The 23,506-nt window shown below is 48.5% G+C and overlaps 1 pseudogene, besides 1 other annotated feature; it reads right to left on the bottom strand.

The window, feature by feature from the left end:
- The window catches only part of LOC102724181 (rhophilin-2-like), a 55,052-nt pseudogene that overhangs the window by 10,921 nt on the left and 20,625 nt on the right, over positions 1-23,506 (bottom strand).
- Positions 13,756-13,956: a silencer, noted in NCBI's record as "peak2571 fragment used in MPRA reporter construct". NCBI's record gives its function as "represses an SCP1 promoter by STARR-seq MPRAs in K562 erythroleukemia cells {active_cell/tissue: K562}" and the evidence as "EXISTENCE:reporter gene assay evidence [ECO:0000049][PMID:32103011]".

The following is a 23,506-nucleotide window of genomic DNA, read 5'->3' as shown; positions in this document are numbered from 1 at the left end:
GGGGGCAGGGCATGCCCCATAAACTCAGGCCTCTGCTGACGGGGTCCCTACTCCAACCTTCAGTATGTGGCTCGGCTCTTTTCTCTAACCTCCTTTTGGACAAACTTCTTTTCTGTTTCTGCTGCGGACCTTAATCACTTGTCCATAAACTCCATGCGTTTTGTCCCTAAAAATATAATTTCTTATGATCCCTTCTCCCAAGATGCTCTGCGTCCCTTGACTTTATCTTCTTTTAAAATTTGAAGTATATCAGGTGCAGTGGCTCACGCCTATAATCCCAGTACTTCGGGAGGCCGAGGTGGATGGATCACGAGGTCAGGAGTTTGAGACCAGCCTGACCAATATGGCGAAACCCTGTCTCCACTAAAAATACAAAAATTAGCCAGGCATAGCGGTGCCCGCCTATAATCCCAGCCACTCGGGAAGCTGAGGCAGGAGATTCACTTGAATCCTGGAGGCAGAGGTTGCAGTGAGCCAAGATCACGCCACTGCACTCCAGCCTGGGCGATAGTGCAAGACTCCGTCTCAAAAAAAAAAAATTTTTTTGAGATATAATTCACATACATGCATAAAATTCACCATTTTAATACCCTTCTGTGGCTTTTATTTATTATTTTTGAGACAGGGTCTTGCTCTGACACCCAGGCTGGAGTGCAGTGGTACAATCATAGCTCCCTGCAGCCCCAACCTCCCTGGGCTCAAGTGATCCTCCGGCCTCAGCCCCCCAAGCAGCTGGGACTACAGGTGTGTGCCACCATGCCATGCTAATTTTTTTTATTTTTTGTAGAGACACGGTCTCGCCATGTTGCCCAGGCTGGTCTCAAACTCCTGGGCTCAAGCGAACATACTGCCTCAGCCTCTCAAAGTGCTGGAATTACAGGTGTGAGCCAGTATGCCAAAACATCAGTGATTTTTTAGTATATTCACAAAGTTAGGTGACCATCATACTACCTAATTTCAGAATATTTCCATCCCCCCAAAAAGAAACCTTCTACCTTATGACCCTTCAGCAGTCCCTCCCCACTCCCATTGCCCAGCCCCAGCAGCATCTACTTTCTGTCTCTGGATTTGCCTATGCTGAGCATTTCATATCCACGGACTCAAAATCCATTGGCTCTCTGGCCCTCTCTCAACTGACTTCTGTTGCCACCTCTCCACCAAAGTGTCTTTTCATCCTGCTGCCAAATACAATAGGCACAGCTAAGCCAACCTCATTCTCCACCTCTCAACTGCATTCAATGCAACCCATCACTCTCTCCTGCAGAGCTTTCTCCTCTTAATTTGAGAAGCTCCTTTCCTCCGACATCTCTGAACTCTCCTGCATTTTCTTTGCACTTGCTTCTCTTCCAACTGACCTCTAAATGTTTAGCCCTCAGCCCTAGCCCCCTTGCAGGGAGCTGCATTTTGTCTCACAGCCTCAAATATCATCCATGTGCAATGATTCTCAAATATTTATTTCTAGCTCTGATTTCTTCCTCGAACTGAAGACTTCACATCCAGTCTCCTCCTTTATGCTTATGTCTGACTGCTAATAGCATCTGAAACATTCAAAACATGACTCTTGATTTCTCTCTCCTTCACCTCCCTCACACCCATTACCCATCATTATGAAAAATAACCAGGCTGGGCATGGTGGCTAATGCCTGTAATCCCAACACTTTGGGAGGCGGAGGTGGAAGGATCGCTTAAGGCCAGGAGTTTGAGGCCAACCTTGGCAATATATCAAGGCCCCATCTCTACCAAAAAAAAATTACAATAGGTAAATAAACAAATTAGCCAGGCATAGTGGTACACACCTGTAGTTCCAGCTACTCGGGAGGCTGAGGCAAAAGGATTGCCTCAGCCCAGGAAGTCAAGGCTATAGTGAGCTATGATTGCACCACTGCATTCCAGGCAAGCAACAGAGTAAGACCCTGTCTCAAAAACAAAACAAAACAAAACAAAAAACAAACAAAAAAACAACAAGAGAAAAATGAAATTAAAGGTAGAAAAATAACCACTACCCATGAGATTGATCAAGCCAAAAACTGAGGCCTCACCTCCCTGTTCACTGTCTCCTTTACACAAATCATCCACAAATCCCCCATCAGCTCTACCTCCAAACTATGTCCCAGGGACACTCATGTCTCTCCAACTCTACAGCCACCCCCATCACCTCAGCCACTAACTTCACCAGCCTGGACAACTGCCATGGCCAGTCTCCGGCAGCAGACGCCCTTCTAAAACAAACATCACACCACGCCGTTCCCCTTCTGAAAATGCTCAGTGGCTTCCAAGCTCCCACCACTGCCGCCAAGGCCTCCTTCCTACCTCACTTCCCACGGCTCCCTTCCTTGTCCTGGTGCTCTGGCCAAAAGGCCTTCCTTTTGCCTCTCTGGTAGGAGAAGCTTATTCTGCTGCAGGGGCCCTGTACCTGTAGGTGCCCCTGCCCAGAAGGCCTTTCTTGTCTCTCTGCAACTGGCTCGAACCTCCTGGTCACTCTCATGTCTGTTCCAGCCCTGCCTAGATAGAGCCTCGCCTCCTCTCCAGTCATTCCACCCCATTACAGGTCTTTTTTCCTTTACAACACTTATCAAAATCCTGACCATTTATTTACTGACTTAGTGCCAGCTTCGTGGGGAGGGGCAGGGACCTTACCTGTGTAATGTAAACTGGAGCTCTGACACCTAAGAGAGTGTCTGGCACCCAATTGATCCTCAATCAATATTTGTTGAATGAATAAATGAGTGTTGTTACAGAGGGAAGGTCGAGGGTACGTCATTAAGTGTGGCAAAGTGCAGAGGAGAACGTCATTAAGTGTGGCATGAACCCTAGCACTTGGGGAAAATTTTAGGGTTTTTTTGCAGACAGTCTCACTCTGTTGGCCCAGGCTGGAGTGCAATGGCGCAATCTCCACTCACTGCAACTTCCACCTCCCAAACTATTCTCCTGCCTCAGCCTCCTGAGTAGCTGGGGTTACAGGCGTGCACCACCATGCCCAGCTAATTTTTATATTTTCAGTAGAGACAGGGTTTGCCTTGTTGGTCAGGCTTGTCTTGAACTCCTGACTTCAAGCAATCCACACACCTCAGCCTCCAAAAGTACTCAGATTACAAACATGAGCACCGTGCCCGGCCTCACATGGGGAAAATTAAAGGTGGTAACTGTGCAGGTGAACTTGAGAGACTCAAATGCTTCCCAAATCTCCCAGAACATGGCTGACACTGCCTCTAGGGCATACAGAGGGATTGTCTTAACTTTCACAGGTCGTCTTAAGCTCTTCTGTACCATTAGAATTTTTTTTGTTTTTTGTTTTTTTCACTGAGTATGTATTACTTTTGTAATTAAACAATTTGATCAGAAAAATAGATCAGTTGATTATTTTATCCACAGGATATTTTTAAAAGTTTGCTAGCAGGGTGCAGTGGCTCACACCTGTAATCCCAGCACTTTGGGAGGCCAAGGTCAGAGGATGGCTTGAGCCCAGGAGTTCAAGACCAGTCTTGGCAACACAGCGAGAACCTGTCTCTACAAAAAATAAAGAATGGGCTGGGCATGGTGGCTCACACCTGTAATCCCAGCACTCTGGGAGGCCGAGGTGGGTGGATCACGAGGTCAGGAGATCGAGACCATCCTGGCTAACACGGTGAGACCCCATCTCTACTAAAAATACAAAAAATTAGCCAGGCGCGTTGGCAGGCACCTGTAGTCCTAGCTACTTGGGAGGCTGAGGCAGAAGAATGGCGTGAACCTGGGAGGCAGAGCTTGCAGTGAGCCAAGATTGCACAACTGCACTCCAGCCTGGGCGACAGTGCGAGACTCCGTCTCAAAAAAAAAATAAAATAAAAAATGAATAAATAAATAAATAAAGAATGAGCCAGGGGTGGTAGTGGGTGCCTATAATTCCAGCTGCTTGTGTGGCTGAAGTGGGAGGATCACTTAAACCGAGGAGATAGAGGCTGCAGTAAGCCATGATCATACCACTGCAAACCAGCCTGGGCAATAGGGCAAGACCCTGTCTTTAAAAAGAAACAGTTTGCCAATTTTCTCTTTGACCCAAGGTGAGCACATTACAGTGATTACAAGCCTGGGAGTCCAGTCATTTGTACCATGTTACACAGGCAGGAGACAGAGGGTCTGGTAAACAACCCTGGGGCTGAACTCATGTAGATTTCACTCCACGCCACTACTGACTGCCCAGGGAGGTGTCAGTGCTCACCACGGATGATGTGGAGTCCAGGAGGCTCACGGCTTTCATCTCGATCTTGTCCTCGCCAAAGCTCTTCAGCAGCTTCATAACCTCACTCACCATCAGCCACTTACAATCCACAAGCTGAATGGAGACAATATAATCTCCTTCCCGGGCTCCTGCCACCTGAAAAAGTATTGTTGAAAATAAGTCAACGTTTTGTTCACTCAAATCCTTGAATCAGTCCCCATTAACAAAATAGGTATTTGCGTAAGTTCACATCAAGAAAGCAAAAATTCACGTTGGGTGGCTGAGACGGGTAGATCACTTGAGGTCAGTAGTTCAAGACCAGCCTGAACAACACGGTGAAGCCCATCTCTACTAAAAATACAATAATCAGCCAGGTGTGGTGGTGGGCACCTGTAGTCCTAGCTACCTGGGAGGCTGAGGCAGGAGAATTGCTTGAACCCGGGAGGCAGACATTGCAGTAAGCCGAGATCGTGCCACTGCCCTCCAGCCTGGGTGCAATTAAAAAAAAAAAAAGTCAAAATTGGCCAGGCACAGTGGCTCACGCCTATAATCCTAGCACTCTGGGAGGCCAAGGCAGACAGAATATTTGAGGCCAGGAGTTCGAGACCAGCCTGGCCAACATGGCAAAACCCCGTTTCTACTAAAAATACAAAAATTAGGCCGGGCCAGGTAGCTCACACTTGTAATCCCAGCACTTTGGGAGGCCGAGGTGGGCAGATCACAAGATCAGGAGATCAAGACCATCCTGGCTAACACGGTGAAACCCCGTCTCTACTAAAAACACACAAAAAATTAGCTGGGCATGGTGACACACACCTGTAATCCCAGCTACTCAGCAGGCGGAGGCAGAAGAATTACTTGAACCCAGGAGGTGGAGGTTGCAGTGAACCAAGATTGCGCCACTGCACTCCAGCCTGGGCGACAGAGCAAAAATGTGTCTCAAAAAACAAAAACAAAAACTAAAATTAGCTGAGTGTGGTGGCACGTGCCTGTAATCCCAGCTACTCAGGAAGCTGAGACAGGAGAATCACTAGAACCCAGGAAGCAGAAGCTGCACTGAGCCCTGAGATCGTGCCACTGCACAATCAGGACTCACTGCAACGTCCACCTCCCAACGTCTAAAAAAAACTAAAAACAAAAAAAAGACAGTAAAAATTAATCCTTTTCTTTTAGGGACTGTAGCACCCATGAGGCCTTTCACATCAAGTCAGGCCTTTGACATGGGTGAACCCGCCCTAAATTCAATCACCCAGATATCTGTGTTTGCTGCCAACCAAGAAAAGCATGTGCTTACCGAGGAAGAGCAGTAAGGATCCAGGAAGTGAACCTCAATGGGGGCATTCCCTCTTAAGGTGAACCCCAAGTCCCCTTCTTCTGCAGTGAAGGGGATGCTTCGAGGAGGCGTCTACTGCTTGTTAGCCAAAAACACAGATAAGGGGCCCTTTGGAAGAGAGCATCATTAGGTGTAGGATTTGAAGGCTGGATCAGACACTTGAAAGCTAAAGGGAATTTTGCCTGCTGTCCTTGAAGATCTCACTTGGCCTTGTTCAGGGACAAATGACACATCTGGGGGCATACATGCTACAGCAGTCATGCGAGAACCTGGAAAGCCATCTTCTCAAACATACCCAATATATTTACAATAAAATTATCTTTTAGACATTGTATTAATTATCTTTTTCTTTTTTTTTTTTTTGAGACATTGTCTCACTCTATCGCCCAGGCTAGAGTGTGGTGGTGTAATCTCGGCTCACTGCAGCCTCTGCCTCCCGGGTTCAAGCAATTCTCCTGAGTAGCTGGAATTACAGGTGCGAACCACCACGCCTGGCTAATTTTTGTATTTTTAGCAGAGATGGGGTTTCATCATGTTGGCCAGGCTGGTCTCAAACTCCTGACCTCAGGTGATCCGCCTGCCTCAGCCTCCCAAAGTGCTGGGATTAAAGGCGTGAGCCACCACACCCAGCCAAAATTATCTTAAATAAAATCTCTAATATAAACAACTTAAGACCAGACATGTCTTGCCTGTAATCCTAAGCACTTTGTGTGACCAAGGCAGAAGGATTGCTTGAGGCCAGGGGTTTGAGACCAGCCTGGGCAACATAGCGGGAACCATTCTCTACCAAAAACATAAAAGAATTAGCCAGGCATGGTGGTGCACGCCTATGGTTCCATCTACTTAGGCTGCTGAGGCAGGAGGACTTCTTGAGCCCAGCAGTTCGAGGCTGCAGTGAACTGATTGTGCCACTGCACTCCAGCCTGGGTGAAAACAGAGTTAGACCCTGTCTTAAAAAAAAAAAAAGGAAAAAAAATCTCAGGTCAGGCATAGTGGCTCATACCTGTAATCCCAGCACTCTGGGATGCCTAGGCAGGAGGATGGTTGGAACCCAGGGTTTGAGACCAGCCTAGGCAACATAGCAAGACCCCATCTCTACAAGAAATAAAAATTAGTTGGACGTGGTGGTGTGTGCCTGTAGTCCCATCTACTAGGGTAGCTAACGCAGGAGGATCACTTGAGCCCAGAAGGTTCAGGCTGCAGTGAGCTATGATCATGCCACTGTAATCCAGCCTAGGTGACACAGTGAGACCACATCTCTAAAAAAAGTTAAAAAATATTTTAAAAAATTTTAAATAGACAATACCTAAAAACTACTTTTAAAATATGCTGTGGGGCCGGGCACAGTGGCTCAGGCCTATAATCCCAGCACTTTGGGAGGCCGAGGTGAGGGGATCACTGGAGCCCAGGAGTTCAAGATCAGCCTGGCCAACATGGTGAAACCCTGTCTCTACTAAAAATACAAAATTAGCTGAGCGTAGTGGCAAAGGCCTGTAATCTCGACTACTCGGGAGGCTGAAGCTGGAGAATCACTTGAACCTGGGAGGTGGAGGCTGCACTGAGCTGAGATCGCACCACTGCACTCCAGCCTGGGCAACAGAGTGAGACTCTGTCTCAAAAAACAAATAAATAAAAATAAGTGCATAAAATAAAATATGCTATGGTCTGAATGTTTGTACCCTCCCAAAGTTTGTATATTAAAATATTAAAATTTTATTAATATTTATTAAAATTTAAAATGTATATTAAAATCATCAATGTAATTATTAGGAAGTGGGGCCCCTTGAGAGGTGATTCAGTCTTGGGGTTGAGCCCTCAAGAATGGGATACATGCTTTTAAAACAGGCCCAAGGGAGCTCATCACCTTTTCTGCCATGAGGACACAGGTAGAAGGCCCTACCTATAAACCAGAACATGGGCCTTCAGCAGATACCAAATCTGCCCATACCTTGGTCTTGGACTTCCCAGCCTCCAAAACTGAGAAATATATTTCTGCTGTTCATAAGCCACCCAGTTTGAGGCATTTTGTTATAGCAGCCCACATGGACTAAGACACCATACTCGCCAAAGTGAAGAGCTGTCCCCTTCGGTCATTTATGTAGAGAGCTTTCAACATACCAGCTTCTAGAAGAAGTCCGTGACTGTCAGCTTGGAGAACTGGGGTAATATAATGTCAGCCTCTTGCTCAGTTTTAGCTAGAATAGAGGATTAGAAATGGGAGGATAAATGTTTCTGTAATTGAAAGTGATCCTTATAGCCCGGTGTTGTGGCTCTCGCCTGTAATCCCAGCACTTTGGGAGGCCAAGGCAGGTGGATCAATGAGGCCAGAAGTTCAAGACCAGTCTGGCCAGCATGGTGAAACCCCGTCTCTATTAAAAATACAAAAATTAGCCAGGTATGGTGGTAGGCGACTGTAATCTGAGTTACTTGGGAGGCTGAGGCAGGAGAATCACTTGAACCCAGGAGGCAGAGGTTGCAGTGAGTTGAAGTCTTGCCACTGCACTCCAGCCCGGTGACAGAGTAAGACTCCAGGGGGGGGAAAAAAAAAGAAAGTGATCCTTGGGAATGAGACAGTACAGAACTTTCTCTTAGTCACACATCCTTCCCCTCGGTTTAGACAAGTAGTACAAGAAGATGGAACACAGCTCAAACCCCGACCTAGGTTGAACTCTACCTTCCATTTGGGTACCTCATGTGAGCCATAGGAGGTATAACTCATTCCTGAGCTGGGACCAAGGAGTGATAACCAGACACATTCCCATGGGGTTTCCTGATATTTAAGGGGCTTAGTGGGCTTCTCTGGCACTCATAAAACCCTAATGAGGAGGCTGGGCACGGTGGCTAATGCTTGTAATCCCAGCACTTTGGGAGGCCGCGGTGGGAGGATCATCTGAGGTCAAGAGTTCAAGACCAGCCTGGCCAACATGATGAAACCCCATCTCTACTAAAAATACAAAAAATTAGCCAGACGTAGTGGCATGCGCCTGTAGTCCCAGCTACTTGGGAGGCTGAGGCTTGAACCAGGGAGGCAGAGTTTGCAGTGAGCTGAGATCACACCACTGCACTCCAGCCTGGGTGACAAGAGTGAAACGACCTCTCAAAAACAAACAAACATACAAACAAACAAACAAACAAAAAACCTATTGAGAAGTCATCTATGTTTCAAGCGTTATTGTTATGGAAGTTCCATGCCTCACTGGACACAGTCCTGGGATACTGAGCTTTCTGTTTTCAACATTATTTTTATTTTGAGACAGGGTGTCGCTCTGTCGCCCAAGCTGGAGTGCAGTGGTGCGATCACAGCTCTCTTGCAGCTTGACCTCCTGGACTCAAATGATTCTCCTGCCTCAGCCTCCCGAGTAGCTGGAACTATAGGTATGCACCACCATACCTGATGAATTTTTTTTAAATTTTTTGTAGAGATGGGGTCTCACTATGTTGCCCAGGCTGGTCTCAAACTCCTGAGCTCAAGTAATCCTCCTGCCTCGGCCTCCCAAAGTGCTGAGATTAGAGTTTTGGGCCACCGTGCTTGACCTTTTCATTATTAATGTGGTATGAGGATTTCCCAGTGAAAAGGAGGTTTGGCAAGTCATAACCATTGACAGCTACATACCCCCACCAGCATCTTCACAGCAGGCTCGGACTACCCTTAACATAAGGCTGGTCAATTTCTAACAAAGGATCCCAGGGCAGGCTGATTCTACAAACAGCATAAAAAGTGTATCTAGGTCAGGTGTGGTGGCTTACTCTGGTAATCCCAGCACTTTGGGAGGCCAAGGCAGGTGGATCACTTGAGGTCAGGAGTTCGAGACCAGCCTGGCCAACATGGTGAAACCCCATCTCTACTAAAAATCCAAAAATTAGCTGGGTGTGGTGGTGGGCGCTTGTAATCCCAGCTCCTCGGGAGGATGAGGCAGAAGAATCACTTGAACCCGGGAAGCAGAGGTTGCAGTGAGCCGAGATCATGCCACTGCACTCCAGCCTGGGCAACAGAACGAGACTCCATCTCAAAAAGAAAAGAGAACTCCAGGGCAAAATAAGCACCTCGGTCCCTGCCCTGTGCAGCCCTCCCTGTGCCAAGCACACAGCAAGGGCTTGCTCAACCCCCACAGGCCAGGCGTACTCTTTCCGCGGCACAGGCACCCCCACAGAGGGAACACAGTCTAGGTTACTCACCAACAACACTGGGGGCGTCGATCAGGTTCAGCAGGTCATCATCCTCCTGGTGCTGGGCGTACATGAGCCGGGAGCGTTCCTGTGCTGCACACAGCACCTTCTGTAGCACCTCAATGCTCTGCAGCTTCTTGCAGAGGCTGGCCTCCTGCACTGACTCCTCGTGATGAGCCATGGCTCTGCACAGGTGGGACTTCCCTGCAGACGGAAGCCAGCACCCACGTGACTTGGAGATCCACCAAACAGAGCATAAGGGCCCAAAGGGCAGCCCAAGAGGTTGGACGTTCTCTTTTCTAAAGGATCTGCCTGGATAGCTAGAGCCCGTGATACCCTACCTTGTTTTAACCTGAGTGACTCTCTCCTAGCAGAGAGAGACAGACAGACTACATTTTAGTTTCTTCACTTGCAGCCCCCTTTATCCCCCTTAAGGGAATAACTAGTGTAAGCTGACTCCAAGCACACCCAGGAATGCAAACTGCTGATAAGATACTGAGGCAGGCTGTACCAGCAGCTCCTGGGGATGTGCTCAGTGGCAGGTACCTAAAGCCCCTGCATTTATCTCTTAGTGATAGTTTAAGCACCTGCACCTGGAACTGTTTATTTTTTGTAACTGCTTCTATAACCAATTACTTTTTTAACTTTTTGCCTATTCTACTTCTGTAAAATTGCTTCAGTTAAACCTCCCTCCCCTATTTAGGCCACAGTATAAAAGAAAATCTAGCCCCTTCTTCAGGCCCGAGACAATTTCGAGCATTATCCGTCTCTCGGTCACCGGCTAATAAATGACTCCTGAATTAGTCTCAAAGTGTGGCGTTTCTCTACAATTCACTTGGTTACAACAAGCCTTTTATTAAAATATTATTTTATTTCATTTTATATTTTATATTTAGAGACAGGGTCTCACTTTGTTTCGCATGCTGGAGTACAGTGGTGCAATCATGGCTTACCATAGCCTCAAACTCCTGGGCTCAACTGAAATTCCCGCTTCTGACTCTTGAGTAGCTGGGACCACAGGCATGCACCACCACACTTGGATAATGTTTTCATTATCATTATCATTTCATTATCATTGCTATGTTGCCCAGGCTGGTCTCAAACTCCTGGCCTCAAGCAATCTGCCTGCCTTAGCCTCCCAGAGTGCTGGGATGACAGGCGTGAGTCACCGCGCCCAGCCCAAGCCTCCCTTAAATGCATATGTAATAAGCTCACTTGTGTCCATAAGATGTTCACTCAACAAATATTTACCAAATGTGCTGGGCACTAGAGATAAAGCAACGAGTAAACAAACTGCCCCCACATTCATGGAGTTTACATGTAGTGGTTGAAGACAGATAACTAACAAGACAAGAAATATGTAATGGATGGGGTGGTGATGAGGTTATAGAGAAAAATAAAGCAGGGTAAGCAGAGATGGTAAGAGAAGACTGGGAATGGGGTTGTCCTATGATGGTTGACCAAGAAAGGTTTTTTTTTTTTTTCTTGAGACGGAGTCTCACTCTGTCACCCAGGCTGGAATGCAGTGGCACGATCTCGGCCCACTGCAACCTCTGCCTCCCAGGTTCAAGCGATTCTCCCACCTCAGCCTCCCAAGTAGCTGGGACTACAGGCACACACCACCACATCTGGCTAAGTTTTTGTATTTTTGGTAGAGACGGGGTTTCTCCATGTTGCCCAGACTGGTCTCAAACTCCTGACTTCAAGCCATCCTCCCACCTCAGCCTCCCAAAGTGCTGGAATTGCAGGCATGAGCCACCACACCCAGCCAAGGAAGGCTTTGTGATATGGTCCTTTTTGAGAAGAGCCCTGATGGATGTGAAAGAGCAGCAGGTGCGAGGGCCCTGGAGCAGGGGCACGCACAGGTGTTCAAGGGCAAGGAGGAGCTAAGGTGTGCCTGAAGGTGGGAGAGAATGAGTGCAGGGAAGGAACAAGGCCAGATCATGGTGGATCTCATGCGTGCGAGATGAGGGCTCTCACTCCTGTTCTGCGTGAGATGGGAGCCCACTGGGGTGTGAGCAGGGGACTGATGTGATCTGGCCTGCATGAGCAGACTCTGAAGGGGCAGCAAGAAAACCAGCTATGAGCAGGGCAAGCCACGTGACCGCTCTGGGTCTCAGTTTCCTCAGCTGTAAAATGGGGATGCCATGAGACCCACCTCATAGTGTTGTGTGGGGTTTAAGTGAGTAAATGTTTCTTACATAAGCACTGTACACATGTGGCTTCCACCAGGGCAGCAGGGTTAAAGTGGCCAGATTTGAGTGTGTCTTCTAGGTACAGCCAAAGGGATTTGCTAATCAAATGTAGGGTGAGAAAGTAAGACAAGAGGTTAGGTGTGGTGGCTCGTGCCTGTAATCCCAGCACTTTGGGAGACAGAGGAAGGAGGATCGCTGGAGGCCAGTAGTTCAAAACCAGCCCGGGCAACATAGTGAGACCGCATCTCTACAAAAACCTTTTTACAATATTAGCCGGGCATGGTGGTGCACGCCTATAGTCCCAGCTACTCAGCAGGCTGAGGCAGGAGGATCACTTGAAGCTCGGAGTTCAAAACCAGCCCGGGCAACATAGTGAGACCGCATCTCTAAAAAAACCTTTTTATAATATTAGCCGGGCATGGTGGTGCATGTCTATAGTCCCAGCTACTCAGCAGGCTGAGGCAGGAGGATCACTTGAAGCCAGGAGTTTGAGGCTGCACTGAGCTGTGATTGCACTACTGCACTGCAGCCTGGGGGACAGCAAGATGCTGTCAAAGAAAGCAAATGAAAGAAAAGGAAAGAGGAAAGGAGGGAGGAAGGGTAGATGGGGAGGAGAGAAAGAGAGAAAGGAAAGAAAGAAAGAATAAAAGAGAGAGAGGAAAGGAAAGGGAAAGAAAAGGAAAGCAACAAGGAAAAAGAAAAGGAGAGGAGAGGGGAGGGGAGAGGGGAGAGGGGAAGGGTGAAGGGAGAGGAGGAAGGATGAGAGGAGAGGGGAGGGGAGAGGAGGAGAAAGGGGAGTGAAGGGGAGGTGGGAGAGGGGAGGAGAGGAGAGGAAGGATGGGAAGGGAGGGGAGGGGAGAAAGGGAAGGGAGGGGAGGAGAGGGAGGAGGGGAAGAGAGGAGAGGGAGGAGGGGAGGGGAGGGAGGACGGAGGAGAGAGGAGAGGGAGGACGGCAGAGAGAGGAGGGGAGGGGAGAAGAGAGGAGGGGAGAGAAGGGGAGAGGAGGGGAGGGGAGGGTAACAGAGGGGAGGGAAGAGGAGGGGAGAGAATGGGAGAGGAGGGGAGGGTAACAGAGGGGAGGGAAGAGGAGGGGAGGGAAGAGGAGGGGAGAGAACGGGAGAGGAGGGGAGGGGAGCAGAGGGGAAGAGAGGAGAGGGGAGCAGAGGGGAGGGGAGGGGAAAGAGGAGGAAAGAAAAGAAGACTGGAGAGTGAGTCCAAGGTTTCTGGCCTGAGCACCTAGAGGGGTGGGAGTTGCCATCACTGAGACGGGGAAGCTGCGTATGTGTGCGTGGGGGCAGATTAGGGTGGTGGAGGTGAGGTCTGCACATGGGAAGAGATATTCACACTGAGACATGGCAGAGACCAAACCAGGACACTTCATTACCAGTCATTAGGTGTTCTTGGGAATTCAGCCATGCATAAGGAAATCAACAAACGTCTCCTTCCCTGTTAGCATGATACAGGCCACCCTGTGGACCCCAAGGGAGATGGTTAAAGTCCTGGCTCCACAGGGGGAGGCCTGGGTGCTATGGAACCCATGAGAACACAGCCTGGGAAGCCCTCTGAGGCTCAGGACTGTGCCTCATGACTTCCGAACCCAAAGTGGCCACGATGACTTGGAACACCCCCCTCTCCCGGGCCCTCTTCAGGGACCTCTCTGTGGCTGTCTGTGAGCAGGACCAGCTGGTCACCAAGTGGGACCCACATCTGGGTGCAGAGGGACATGCACCCAGCTGTTGGCGCTGCTGATCATTCTTCAGTGTGGCCAAGGGTGTCAGCCCCTCTGGCATGTGGTCGTAGAGCTGGGACAGGCACTTCTGGTGGTCCAGATCCGTGCCTGGCTTCACTGCAAAGAGAACCACAGGTTAAATCCCCTCTCATGGACCTGGCCACAGACCCACATAGAGATTTCTCTTTCTACCATGTCTCTAGTTTCCTTTCTTCTGCAGTTTCACAAGGCATTTGGGATCATGGCTCTCCTTTCTGCCCCTGGACACACCCCAGGCAGTCTGACCCTCAAGCTTTTTTTTTCTTTGAGACGGTCTCACTCTGTCACCAGGCTGGAGTGCAATGGCACAATCATATTTCACTGCAGCCTTGAACTCCTGGGCTCAAGTGATCCTCCCACCTCAGCCTCCTGAGTAGTTAGGACTACAGACATGCACCACCACACGCCAGGCTAATTTTTAAATTTTTTTGTAAAGATAAGTTCTTGCTACATTGCCCATGCTGGTCTCAAACCCCTGGGTTCAAACGATCCTCCTGCCTTAGCCTCCCAAAGTGCTGGGATCAAATGTGTGAGCCACCATGCCTGGCTACCCCGAAGCTCTTGCTCACTGGAACCAGTCATGCTCCAGAGGTTCAGAGGTTCAGAATTTTTTTTTTTTTTTTGAGATGGAGTTTCGCTCTGTCGCCCAGGCTTGGGTGCAGTGGTGTGATCTTGGCTCACTGCAACCTCCACCTCCCGGGTTCAAGTGATTCTCCTGCCTCAGCCTCCCGAGTAGCTGGGATTACAGGCATGTGTCACCATGCCCAGCTAATTTTTCTATTTTTAGTAGAGACGGGGTTTCAGCATCTTGGCCAGGCTGGTCTCAAACTCCTGACCTCATGATCCACCCATCTCGGCCTCCCAAAGTGCTGGGATTGTAGGCGTGAACCACCACACCTGGTGAGGTTCATAATTTGACCCTGAGCCCCCACACACTACCTCCTCTGACTCACCCACCACACAGAACCTCCTAGCACAGCCCAGACCCTGTCATGCCTGGCCTGCACCCCTCTGCAGTCCTGCACACCTGCAGCAGAGCCCCTTCCTGCTTCAACCACACCCTCCCTGGTGCATATCCTGCTCTCAAACCTCACAAAACCACTCTCCACTTCCCCAGCACCCTCGGCCTCTGTTCCTGTGCTCAGACACTTTACTCCCTCTAGGCTGACCCTTCCCTCCTGTGCAGATGGAAAAGTTGAACTCAAATGTCACCGCCTCTGAGAAGCCATCAATGACTGCACCATGGAGTCCACCTGCTGCTGCATTTGTGTCTCTGCAGCAATCACCAAGGCACTATATGGTATTTCTATTTGTTTCAACATCTTGTCTCGCCTAATAGACTATATAGTACTAGGAGTGGTGGCTCACACTTTCAGAGAACCTACAGCATATAAAGCATTATTGAGCTTTGCATACAGGCCCTTCATTTTCATGACAGCCTGTGAGGTAGATTCTCTCCATATACCCATTTTACAGATGAGAAAATCGAGGCAGAGGACAGCTAAGTAACTTGCCCAAGGTAATACAGCTCATTCATGGCAGAGCTGAGATATGAACCCAGGAAGTCTGGCTCCAGAGGCTGTCTTTTTAATTCCTCGGGAGGCTGCCTGGATTAGTACTTATTAGATCAAAAATCCCTGGCCAGGCACCATGGCTCATGCCTGTAATCCCAACACTTTGGGGAGGCCAAGGCAGGACAATTGCTTGAGGCCAGGAATTTGAAACCAACCTAGGCAACATAGTGAGACTCCATCTCTACGAAAAAAATTTTTTTCAATTAACTGGTGTAGTGGCATGTGCCTGTAGTCCCAGGTATTCAGGAGGCTGAAGTGGGAGGATTGCTTGAGCCCAGGAGTTCAAGAAGGCAGTGAGCCATGATCATACCACTGCACTCCAGCCCCATCTCTAAAAATAAATAAAATAAAATAAAATAAAATTAAATTAAATTCCGATCATCACAGATTTTTTTTGCATTAATTTTTATTTTATTATTATTAGTTTTTTTGAGATGGAGTCTTGCTCTGCTGCCCAGGCTGGAGTGTGGTGGCACAATCTCGGCTCACTGCAACCTCCACCTCCCCGGCCCAAGCCATTCTCCTGCCTCAGTCACCGGAGTAGCTGGGATTAGAGGCACGCGCCATGCCCGGCTAATTTTTGTATTTTCAGTAGAGACAGGGTTTCACCATGTTGGCCAGGCTGGTCTCAAACTCCTGACCTCAAATGATCTGCCTGCTTTGGCCTTCCAAAGTGCTGGGATTATAGGCTTGAGCCACTGTACCCGGCCTGCATTAATTTTGATTCTTTTAAAATATTACCTTAAAATGTTACTTATCTTGATGCCAGCATTTTTGGCATTCCCTTAGATTCTAGATTCCAGGTGAAAATTCATCCTCTTGCACACAGGCAGAATTAAAGGTGCCTCCTCTTCCTCCCTCTAAAGAAGCTTATAACCCCTAACCCCACCATGGCCTGTGCAGCAGCTGCCTCAGTCATGGGTCATTCTCATCCTCTGCCTTCAGCCTGTGAGCATCTCCAGGGAAGGCAGTTAGCTCTCACTCAGCTCAGAATCGCCCCTGGGGCAGCTGGACCACAGCCCTGGCCAAACCCCCGAACCCCACAGGCCTTACCCTGGTGGTCGATGAGGAGGATGGCAGTGAAGTAGTGGGCCAGGGCCGCATAGTGGTGGGCCTTCACGCAGGCCAAGCTGGCCCAGGAGTAGGGGATGTTCTCTTTCACCAGCACCTGGCTCATGGCTGCGTGCAGCTGTCGGCAGACCTCTCCCACCTGAAATAGAAGGGGCATTGGGAAGGGGCAGCCCGGCACAAGGGCCCTCATGAACCCATTTGCAGAGAAAGAGCCCTTTCTTCTTCTCATGCAACAGCCCCTGCCAGGGGCTGCTCCAGAATCTGGGAGCAACTCCAAGCAACCCCCCGTTCTGTCATTGTCACAGTTAACAGGGGGATCAGGCTGCTGTCATTATGCTGGTTTTTAGGTTAAGCTGCAGATGGAATCAGTGATCCGTATCTGAAACACCAACACTTGCCAAGAAAACTCAAGCCAGCAGTACTGGCCGGAGCTGGCACAATGCCCAGGTCACAGGCAAGCTCCTGTGGGAAGGCCCCATTACTTCCAGTGCTCCTGTGCCAGCATTTCCTGCCCACCCCCCAAAGTCACAGGAACCAGGGAGTCTTACCTTGGCAGCCTCCTGAGCCACCTTCACCAGCATGAAGAATTCATTCCAGATCCCAGGAAGGCTGATTTTCTCAAACACGCTTTCTTGGGTTTGTGCAAGCATCATTTTGACAAGCACGCTGAGCATGGCAGGGATCATATCGTAACTTGGATTATGGGTAAATGTCTCTTTCAGGTAGTTTAAAACCCCTAAAAGTGGAAAATGTTTTGCCCATTAGTTCGGGTTTATATTTACTTCATCACGTTGCTGTAGAGAAAGATAGGAGGCCAGGTGTGGTGGCTCATGCCCATAATCCCAACACATTGGGAGGTCAAAGTGAGCAGATCACTTGCGTCAGGAATTTAAGACCAGCGTGGGCAACATGGTGAAACCCTGTCTCTACAAAAAATACAAAAATTAGCTGGGTGTGATGGCGTGCACCTATAGTCTCAGCTCCTCTGGAGGCTGAGGCAGGAGGATTGCTTGAGCCCAGGAGGCAGAGGTTGCAGTGAGCTGAGATCTCACCACTGCACTCCAGCCTGGGTGACAGAGCAAGACTCCGTCTCAAAAAAAAAAAAAAAAAAAAAAGGAAAGATAGGAGGAAAAAAAAAGAACCGGTGTCCTACAACATATTAAAAAGTTTGATTCTCAATTATATGGTCCAGCAATTCCACTCCTATGATATATATCCCCAAACAATTGAAAGTGGGGGCTTAAGTGATACTTGAACACCCGTGTTAATAGCAACATTATTTACAAGAGCTGAAAAGTGGAAACCACCCAGACATCCGTGAGCAGATGAATGATTAAACACAATGTGGCCTATCCATACAATGGAGTATTTTTCAGCCTTAAAAAGGAATGAAATTCTGACACATGGTACAGTGTAAATAAGGGCATTATGCTAAGTGAAACAAGCCAGTCACAAAAGGACCAATATTGTAGGATTCCATTTAGATAAGGTACCCAGAATAGTCAAATTCACAGAAACAGAAAGGAGAACAGAGGTTAGCTGGGGCTGGGAAAGGGGGCAATGGGAAGTTATTGCTTAACTGAGTACAGAGCTTTGCTTATCCATCATCCAGATGAAAAAGTTCTGGAGATAGCTGGGCACAGGGGCTGCTGCCTGTAATCCCAGCTACGAGGGAGGCTGAGGTGGGAGGGTTGCTTGATATTAAGAGTTCAAGACCAGCCTGGGCAACATACTGAGACCCCTGTCTCTTAAAAAATATATACTTTTTAAAAATGTATTTATTTTATTTATTTTTGAGACAAGATCACACTCTGTTGCCCAGACTGGAGTGCAGTGGCATGATCATGACGCACTGCAGCCTTAAACTCCTGGGCTCAAGCAGTCCTCCCACCTCAGTCTCCTGAAGAGCTGGGACTACAGACATGCACTACCCCACACCCAGCTAATTTTAAAATTTTTTGTACAGATGGGGTGTGCCTATGTTGCCCAGACTGGTCTCCAATTCTTGGATTCAAGTGATCCTCCTGACTCAGCCTCCCAAACTGCTGAGATTACAGGTGTGAGCCACCTTGCCTAACCAACAAAAAATATTTTTAACTTCTGGAGATGTTTAGTGGTAATGGCTGCACAACACTATGAATGTACAAATGCACTTAATGCCATTGAACTACACACTTCAAAATGGTTAAAATGTGCTTCTGGTTGGCAGGATAATTTTAAAATTTTAAAAATTTAAGATAATCATTAAAATGGTAATTTTATGTTGTATTATTTTACTGTAATAAAAAAACTGGTTAAAATAGTACATTTTAGGTTATATATGTATATTTTAACACTATTTATTTATTTATTTATAAATAAATGCCCAGGCTGGAGTGCAGTGGCATGATTTCAGCTCACTGAAACCTCTGCCTCCCAGGTTCAAGCGATCCCCCTGCCTCAGCCCCCCAAGTAGCAGGGATTACAGGTGCTCACCACCACACCCAGCTAATTTTTGTATTTTTACCACAGATGGGGTTTCACCATGTTGGCCAGACTGGTCTTGAACTCCTGACCTCAGGTGATCTGCCTGCCTCGGCCACCCAAAGTGCTGGGGTAACAGGTGTGAGCCACCCCACCTAGCCTTTTAACCCAATTTTTAAAAATTGGATTATCTTCCAAAACACTTACATCTCTATTGAGTAGAGAAACCAGCCTGCTCCCCACAACTCCTGTGTCACCTGGGACAAAATTCCATCATGACAGGTATGGAGATGCAAGCAGAGAGCAGGCACAAGGACTGAGGGGCTCACAGGGGGCCAGGCTCACACATAAGATCTGAGTCATTCAGCAGTCCAGGGCTTTTCCCCTGGACCTCAAGAAAGATCTGTTCTGGCCAGGCACGGTGGCTCATGCCTCTAATCCCAGCACTTTGGGAGGCCAAGGCGGGTGGTTCACCTGAGGTCAGGTTCGAGACCAGCCTGGCCAACATGACAAAACCCTGCCTCTACTAAAATTATAAAAATTAGCCAGGCATGATGGTACACACCTATAATCCCAGCTACTCAGGAGGCTGAGGTAGGAGAATCACTTGAACCCGGGAAGCGGAGGCTGCAATGAGCCGAGATCTCACCACTGCACTCCAACCTGGGTGATAGAGTGAGATTCCGTCTCAAAAAAAAAAAAAAAAAAAAAAAACTCAATCCGTCTGCTCCAATGGAAATTTTCATGCTGCAGCCTTCCACTGACTTCTTTATAGTTTAGAAAATTAACTGTCCAAAGCGCTAACTGACAATCAATCTGGAACTGAAATAGAGTCTCTCATATGAATCCCAGCCAACTGGGTCCTCTGGTTTTGTTGCTGAGCAAAAAAAAAAAAAAAAAAAAAAATCCCCGCCCTGCGGAGGGATGGCACCTGCTGTTTTGAGCTGTGAGCTCCGTGGGGGTTCCCTCACACTCCCCACTGTTCTCCCACTTGCTTCATTTCATCTATAATTTGTCTCCATTGCTATAATCTCAGAGACAGGACACAGAGTGCCTGCCTAAGATTCCCCAGAAAGATGAGTCCAGAAAAAAGATTTACAACAAAAGAAATCAACTCATACTTGGAATCTTAGCATATCACTTCATCCTAAGAGAACAATCTTTCATTTTTTTAATTAATTAATTATTTTTTGAGACAGGTTCTTGCTCTGTCGCCCAGGCTGGAGTGCAATGGCACGATCTTGGCTTACCACAACCTTGGGTGATCCTTCCATCTCAGCCTCCCAAGTAGCTGAGACTACAGGCATGCACCACCAGGCCCAGCTAATTTTTGTACTTTTTGTAGAGATGGAATTTTGCCTTGTTGCCCAGGCTGATCTCAAATTCCTGAGCTCCAGCAATCCACCCACCTCAGCCTCCTAAAGTGCTGGGATTACAGGCATGAGCCACCATGCCTGGCCTATTTCTTTAATTAAAAAAAATTCTTTTTGGCAATCCTAGCTCACTGCAGCCTCAAACTCCTGGGCTTAATTGATCCTCCCGTCTTAGCCTCTGGAGTAGCTGGAACTATGGGTGTACACCACCACGCTTGGCTAATTTTAAATATTCTGTAGAGACAGGGTCTTCCTGTGTGGCCCAGGCTGTTAGGACCAATCATTGTAACATCACAAATTTCACAATGAGTTGAAGTGGCAAAGCTCTGGTTCTTCACAAGCTTGCAGGGCAAAGTGATATCAAACAATGATCCACACGGGTGGAAGGGGATCACACCCCAAAGCAGAATGTCGATGATCAACCTAGAAGGCAACACACTATAGAGCTAGTGTGGAGAACACACTGTGGTCTACACTGTGCCCTGCTCTTGCATCCATCCCCATGCGGAGTCTGACCCAGACACAGGCCCTGCTATGGGGGAGCAAGGCAGAACCCGCAGGCAAGGGTGAGCCATGCCAGGCTCACCCACAGCACTGGGTCTGGTGACCCCGGTCCTCTACAGGTGTAAGCACTAGGCTGCTTTTCTCCTCGACCCCGCACCTTGTTCTCATACTAGGATTACCTGAGGTCAGGAGTTTGAGACCAGCCTGGCCAACAGGGCAAAACCTCATCTCTACTAAAAATACAAAAATTAGCCGGGCATGGTGGCAGGCGCCTGTAATCCCAGCTACTTGGGAGGCTGAGGCAGAAGAGTTGCTTGAACCCAGCAGGCAGAGGTCGTAGTGAGCAGAGATTGTGCCACTGCACTCCAGGCTGGGTGACAAGAGCAAGACTCTATCTCAAAATAAACAAATAAATAAAATAAAATAAAACAACAAAAGACAGTTCCCAGAAGAAGGGAACTGAGCTATGAGACATCCTTTGAATGCATCACTTGACAAAGGGTTGAGAACACCCACCTCATGCTGGAGAAGCTGGCAGAATGCAGGTGACATAAAGGCATGGAGGGGCAGGGTGTGGTGGCTCACCCTGTAATCCCAGCATTTTGGGAGGCTGAGGCAGGCGGAACACCTGAGGTCAGGAATTCGAGACCAGCCTGGCCAGGATGGTGAGACCCCATCTCTACTAAAAATACAAAAATTAGCCGGGCGTGGTGGCGGGTGCCTGTAATCCCAGCATTTTGGGAGGCTGAGGCAGGCAGAACACCTGAGGTCAGGAATTCGAGACCAGCCTGGCCAGGATGGTGAGACCCCATCTCTACTAAAAATACAAAAATTAGCCGGGCGTGGCGGCGGGTGCCTGTAATCCCAGCTACTCAGGAGGCTGAGGCAGGAGAATCACCTGAAACCGGGAGGTTTCAAGCAGTGAGCCAACATTGCGCCACTGCACTCCAGCCTGGGCGACAAGGGCGAAAATCCATCTCATAAATAAATAAATAAATAAATAAAGGCACGGAGAGTAATACGCACAGATAGGGTACACCTAATACAAGAAAAAGAAGCCTACGGTTTCACTATTTGGGAAAAGTTATTCTGCTCTTCATGACAGTGTTGAAAGAAACAGTTATGCACTGCCATCCCAGGGCCACTTGTCTGGAAAAGATCAATCATCAGCCACAGGATTCACCATGTACATCAAGCCATCCCAGACTGAGGTCTGAACCACCGAGCAAGTTTCTTTTTTTTTTTTGAGACGGAGTCTGACTCTGTCACCCAGGCTGGAGTGCAGTGGCGCAATATCCGCTCACTGCAAGCTCCGCCTCCCGGGTTCATGCCATTCTCCTGCCTCAGCCTCCCAAGTAGCTGGGAATACAGGTGCCTGCCACCAGGCCCAGCTAATTTTATGTATTTTTAGTAGAGATGGGGTTTCACCATGTTAGCCAGGATGGTCTCGATCTCCTGACCTTCGTGATCCACCTGCCTCGGCCTCCCAAAGTGCTGGGATTACAGGCATGAGCCACTGCGCCCGGCTGGAGCAAGTTTCTTAATGGGAAGTTACACCAGAGCTGAAGATTGCTCTGGCCCTTGCAGGGGACGACCTGTAGACCCTCTTCAGTGGGGGGGTCACCTGGTGCCTCCAGGCGGGGCCAAGGCTCTGTCCAGTTAGCCCTGGAGGAGACATACCTGCAGCTCTCTGAAAGGCATCTATGGCACTCTGCAGCCCAGCCTGCGTGTGCCGATAGCGCCGGGTCCCAATCTGGGTGTAGAGGACCCCAGTGTTGAACAGGACACTGGCCTTCTCCAGCAGCAGGTTCTGCTGGCTGACCAGAACCCCAGTGAGGGAGTCATACCTATGTGAAAGAAATGCATTTAGGGAATACAGATTACTTGGCTAGTTAATGCTACTTTTGGATGCAAGTGGAAAAATTATTATTATTATTATTATTATTATTATTTTATTTATTTATTTTTGAGATACAGTCTCACTCTGTCACCCAGGCTGGAGTCCAGTGGAGCGATCTCAGCTCACTGCAAGCTCTGCCTCCCAGGTTCATGCCATTCTCCTGCCTCAGCTTCCCAAGTAGCTGGGACTACAGGCACCCGCCACCACGCCCAGCTAATTTTTTTGTATTTTTAGTAGAGACAGGGTTTCACCGTTTTAGCCAGGATGGTCTCGATCTCCTGACCTCGTGATCCGCCCACCTCAGCCTCCCAAAGTGCTGGGATTACAGGCGTGAGCCACTGTGCCTGGCTCTATTATTATTTTTTTAAGAGTCAGGATCTCACTCTGTTGCCCAGGCTGGAGTGCAGTGGTGTGATCATAGCTTACTGCAGCCTCCAACTTTAGGGCTCAATTGATCCTCCCACCTCAGCCTCATGAGAAAGCTGGGATTACAGGTGCATGCCACCATACCTGCCTAATTTTTTTTTTTTAATTTTTGTAGAGATGGGGTCTCACTATGTTACCCAAACTGCTGTTAAACTCCTGGGTTGGCTGGGTGCAGTGGCTCACACCTGTAATCCCAGCACTTTGGGAGGCCAAGGTGGGTGGATCACCTGAGGTCAGGAGTTCGAGACCAGCCTGGCCAACATGGTGAAACCCAGTCTCCACTAAAAATACAAAAATTAGCCAGGCATGGTAGCGGGCACCTGTAATCCCAGCTACTCAGGAGGCTGAGGCGGGAGAACTGCTGGAACCCGAGAGGCGGAGGTTACAGTGAGCCAAGATTGTGCCACTGTGCTCCAGCCTGGGCAACAATAACAACAACAACAAACTCATTTCTTCAATAAAATTCAAGAATGCACATGCACTGAGGCTTTTGTTTCCAAGCAAGATGACAGGACTAATCACACTGACCACCAC

This window comes from Homo sapiens, chromosome 16 (genome assembly GCF_000001405.40).
Source record: "Homo sapiens chromosome 16, GRCh38.p14 Primary Assembly".
Classification (NCBI taxonomy): Eukaryota; Metazoa; Chordata; class Mammalia; order Primates; family Hominidae; genus Homo; species Homo sapiens.
The sequence above is the reverse complement of the archived record's forward strand: the minus strand, read 5'-3'. Positions and strand labels throughout refer to the sequence as shown.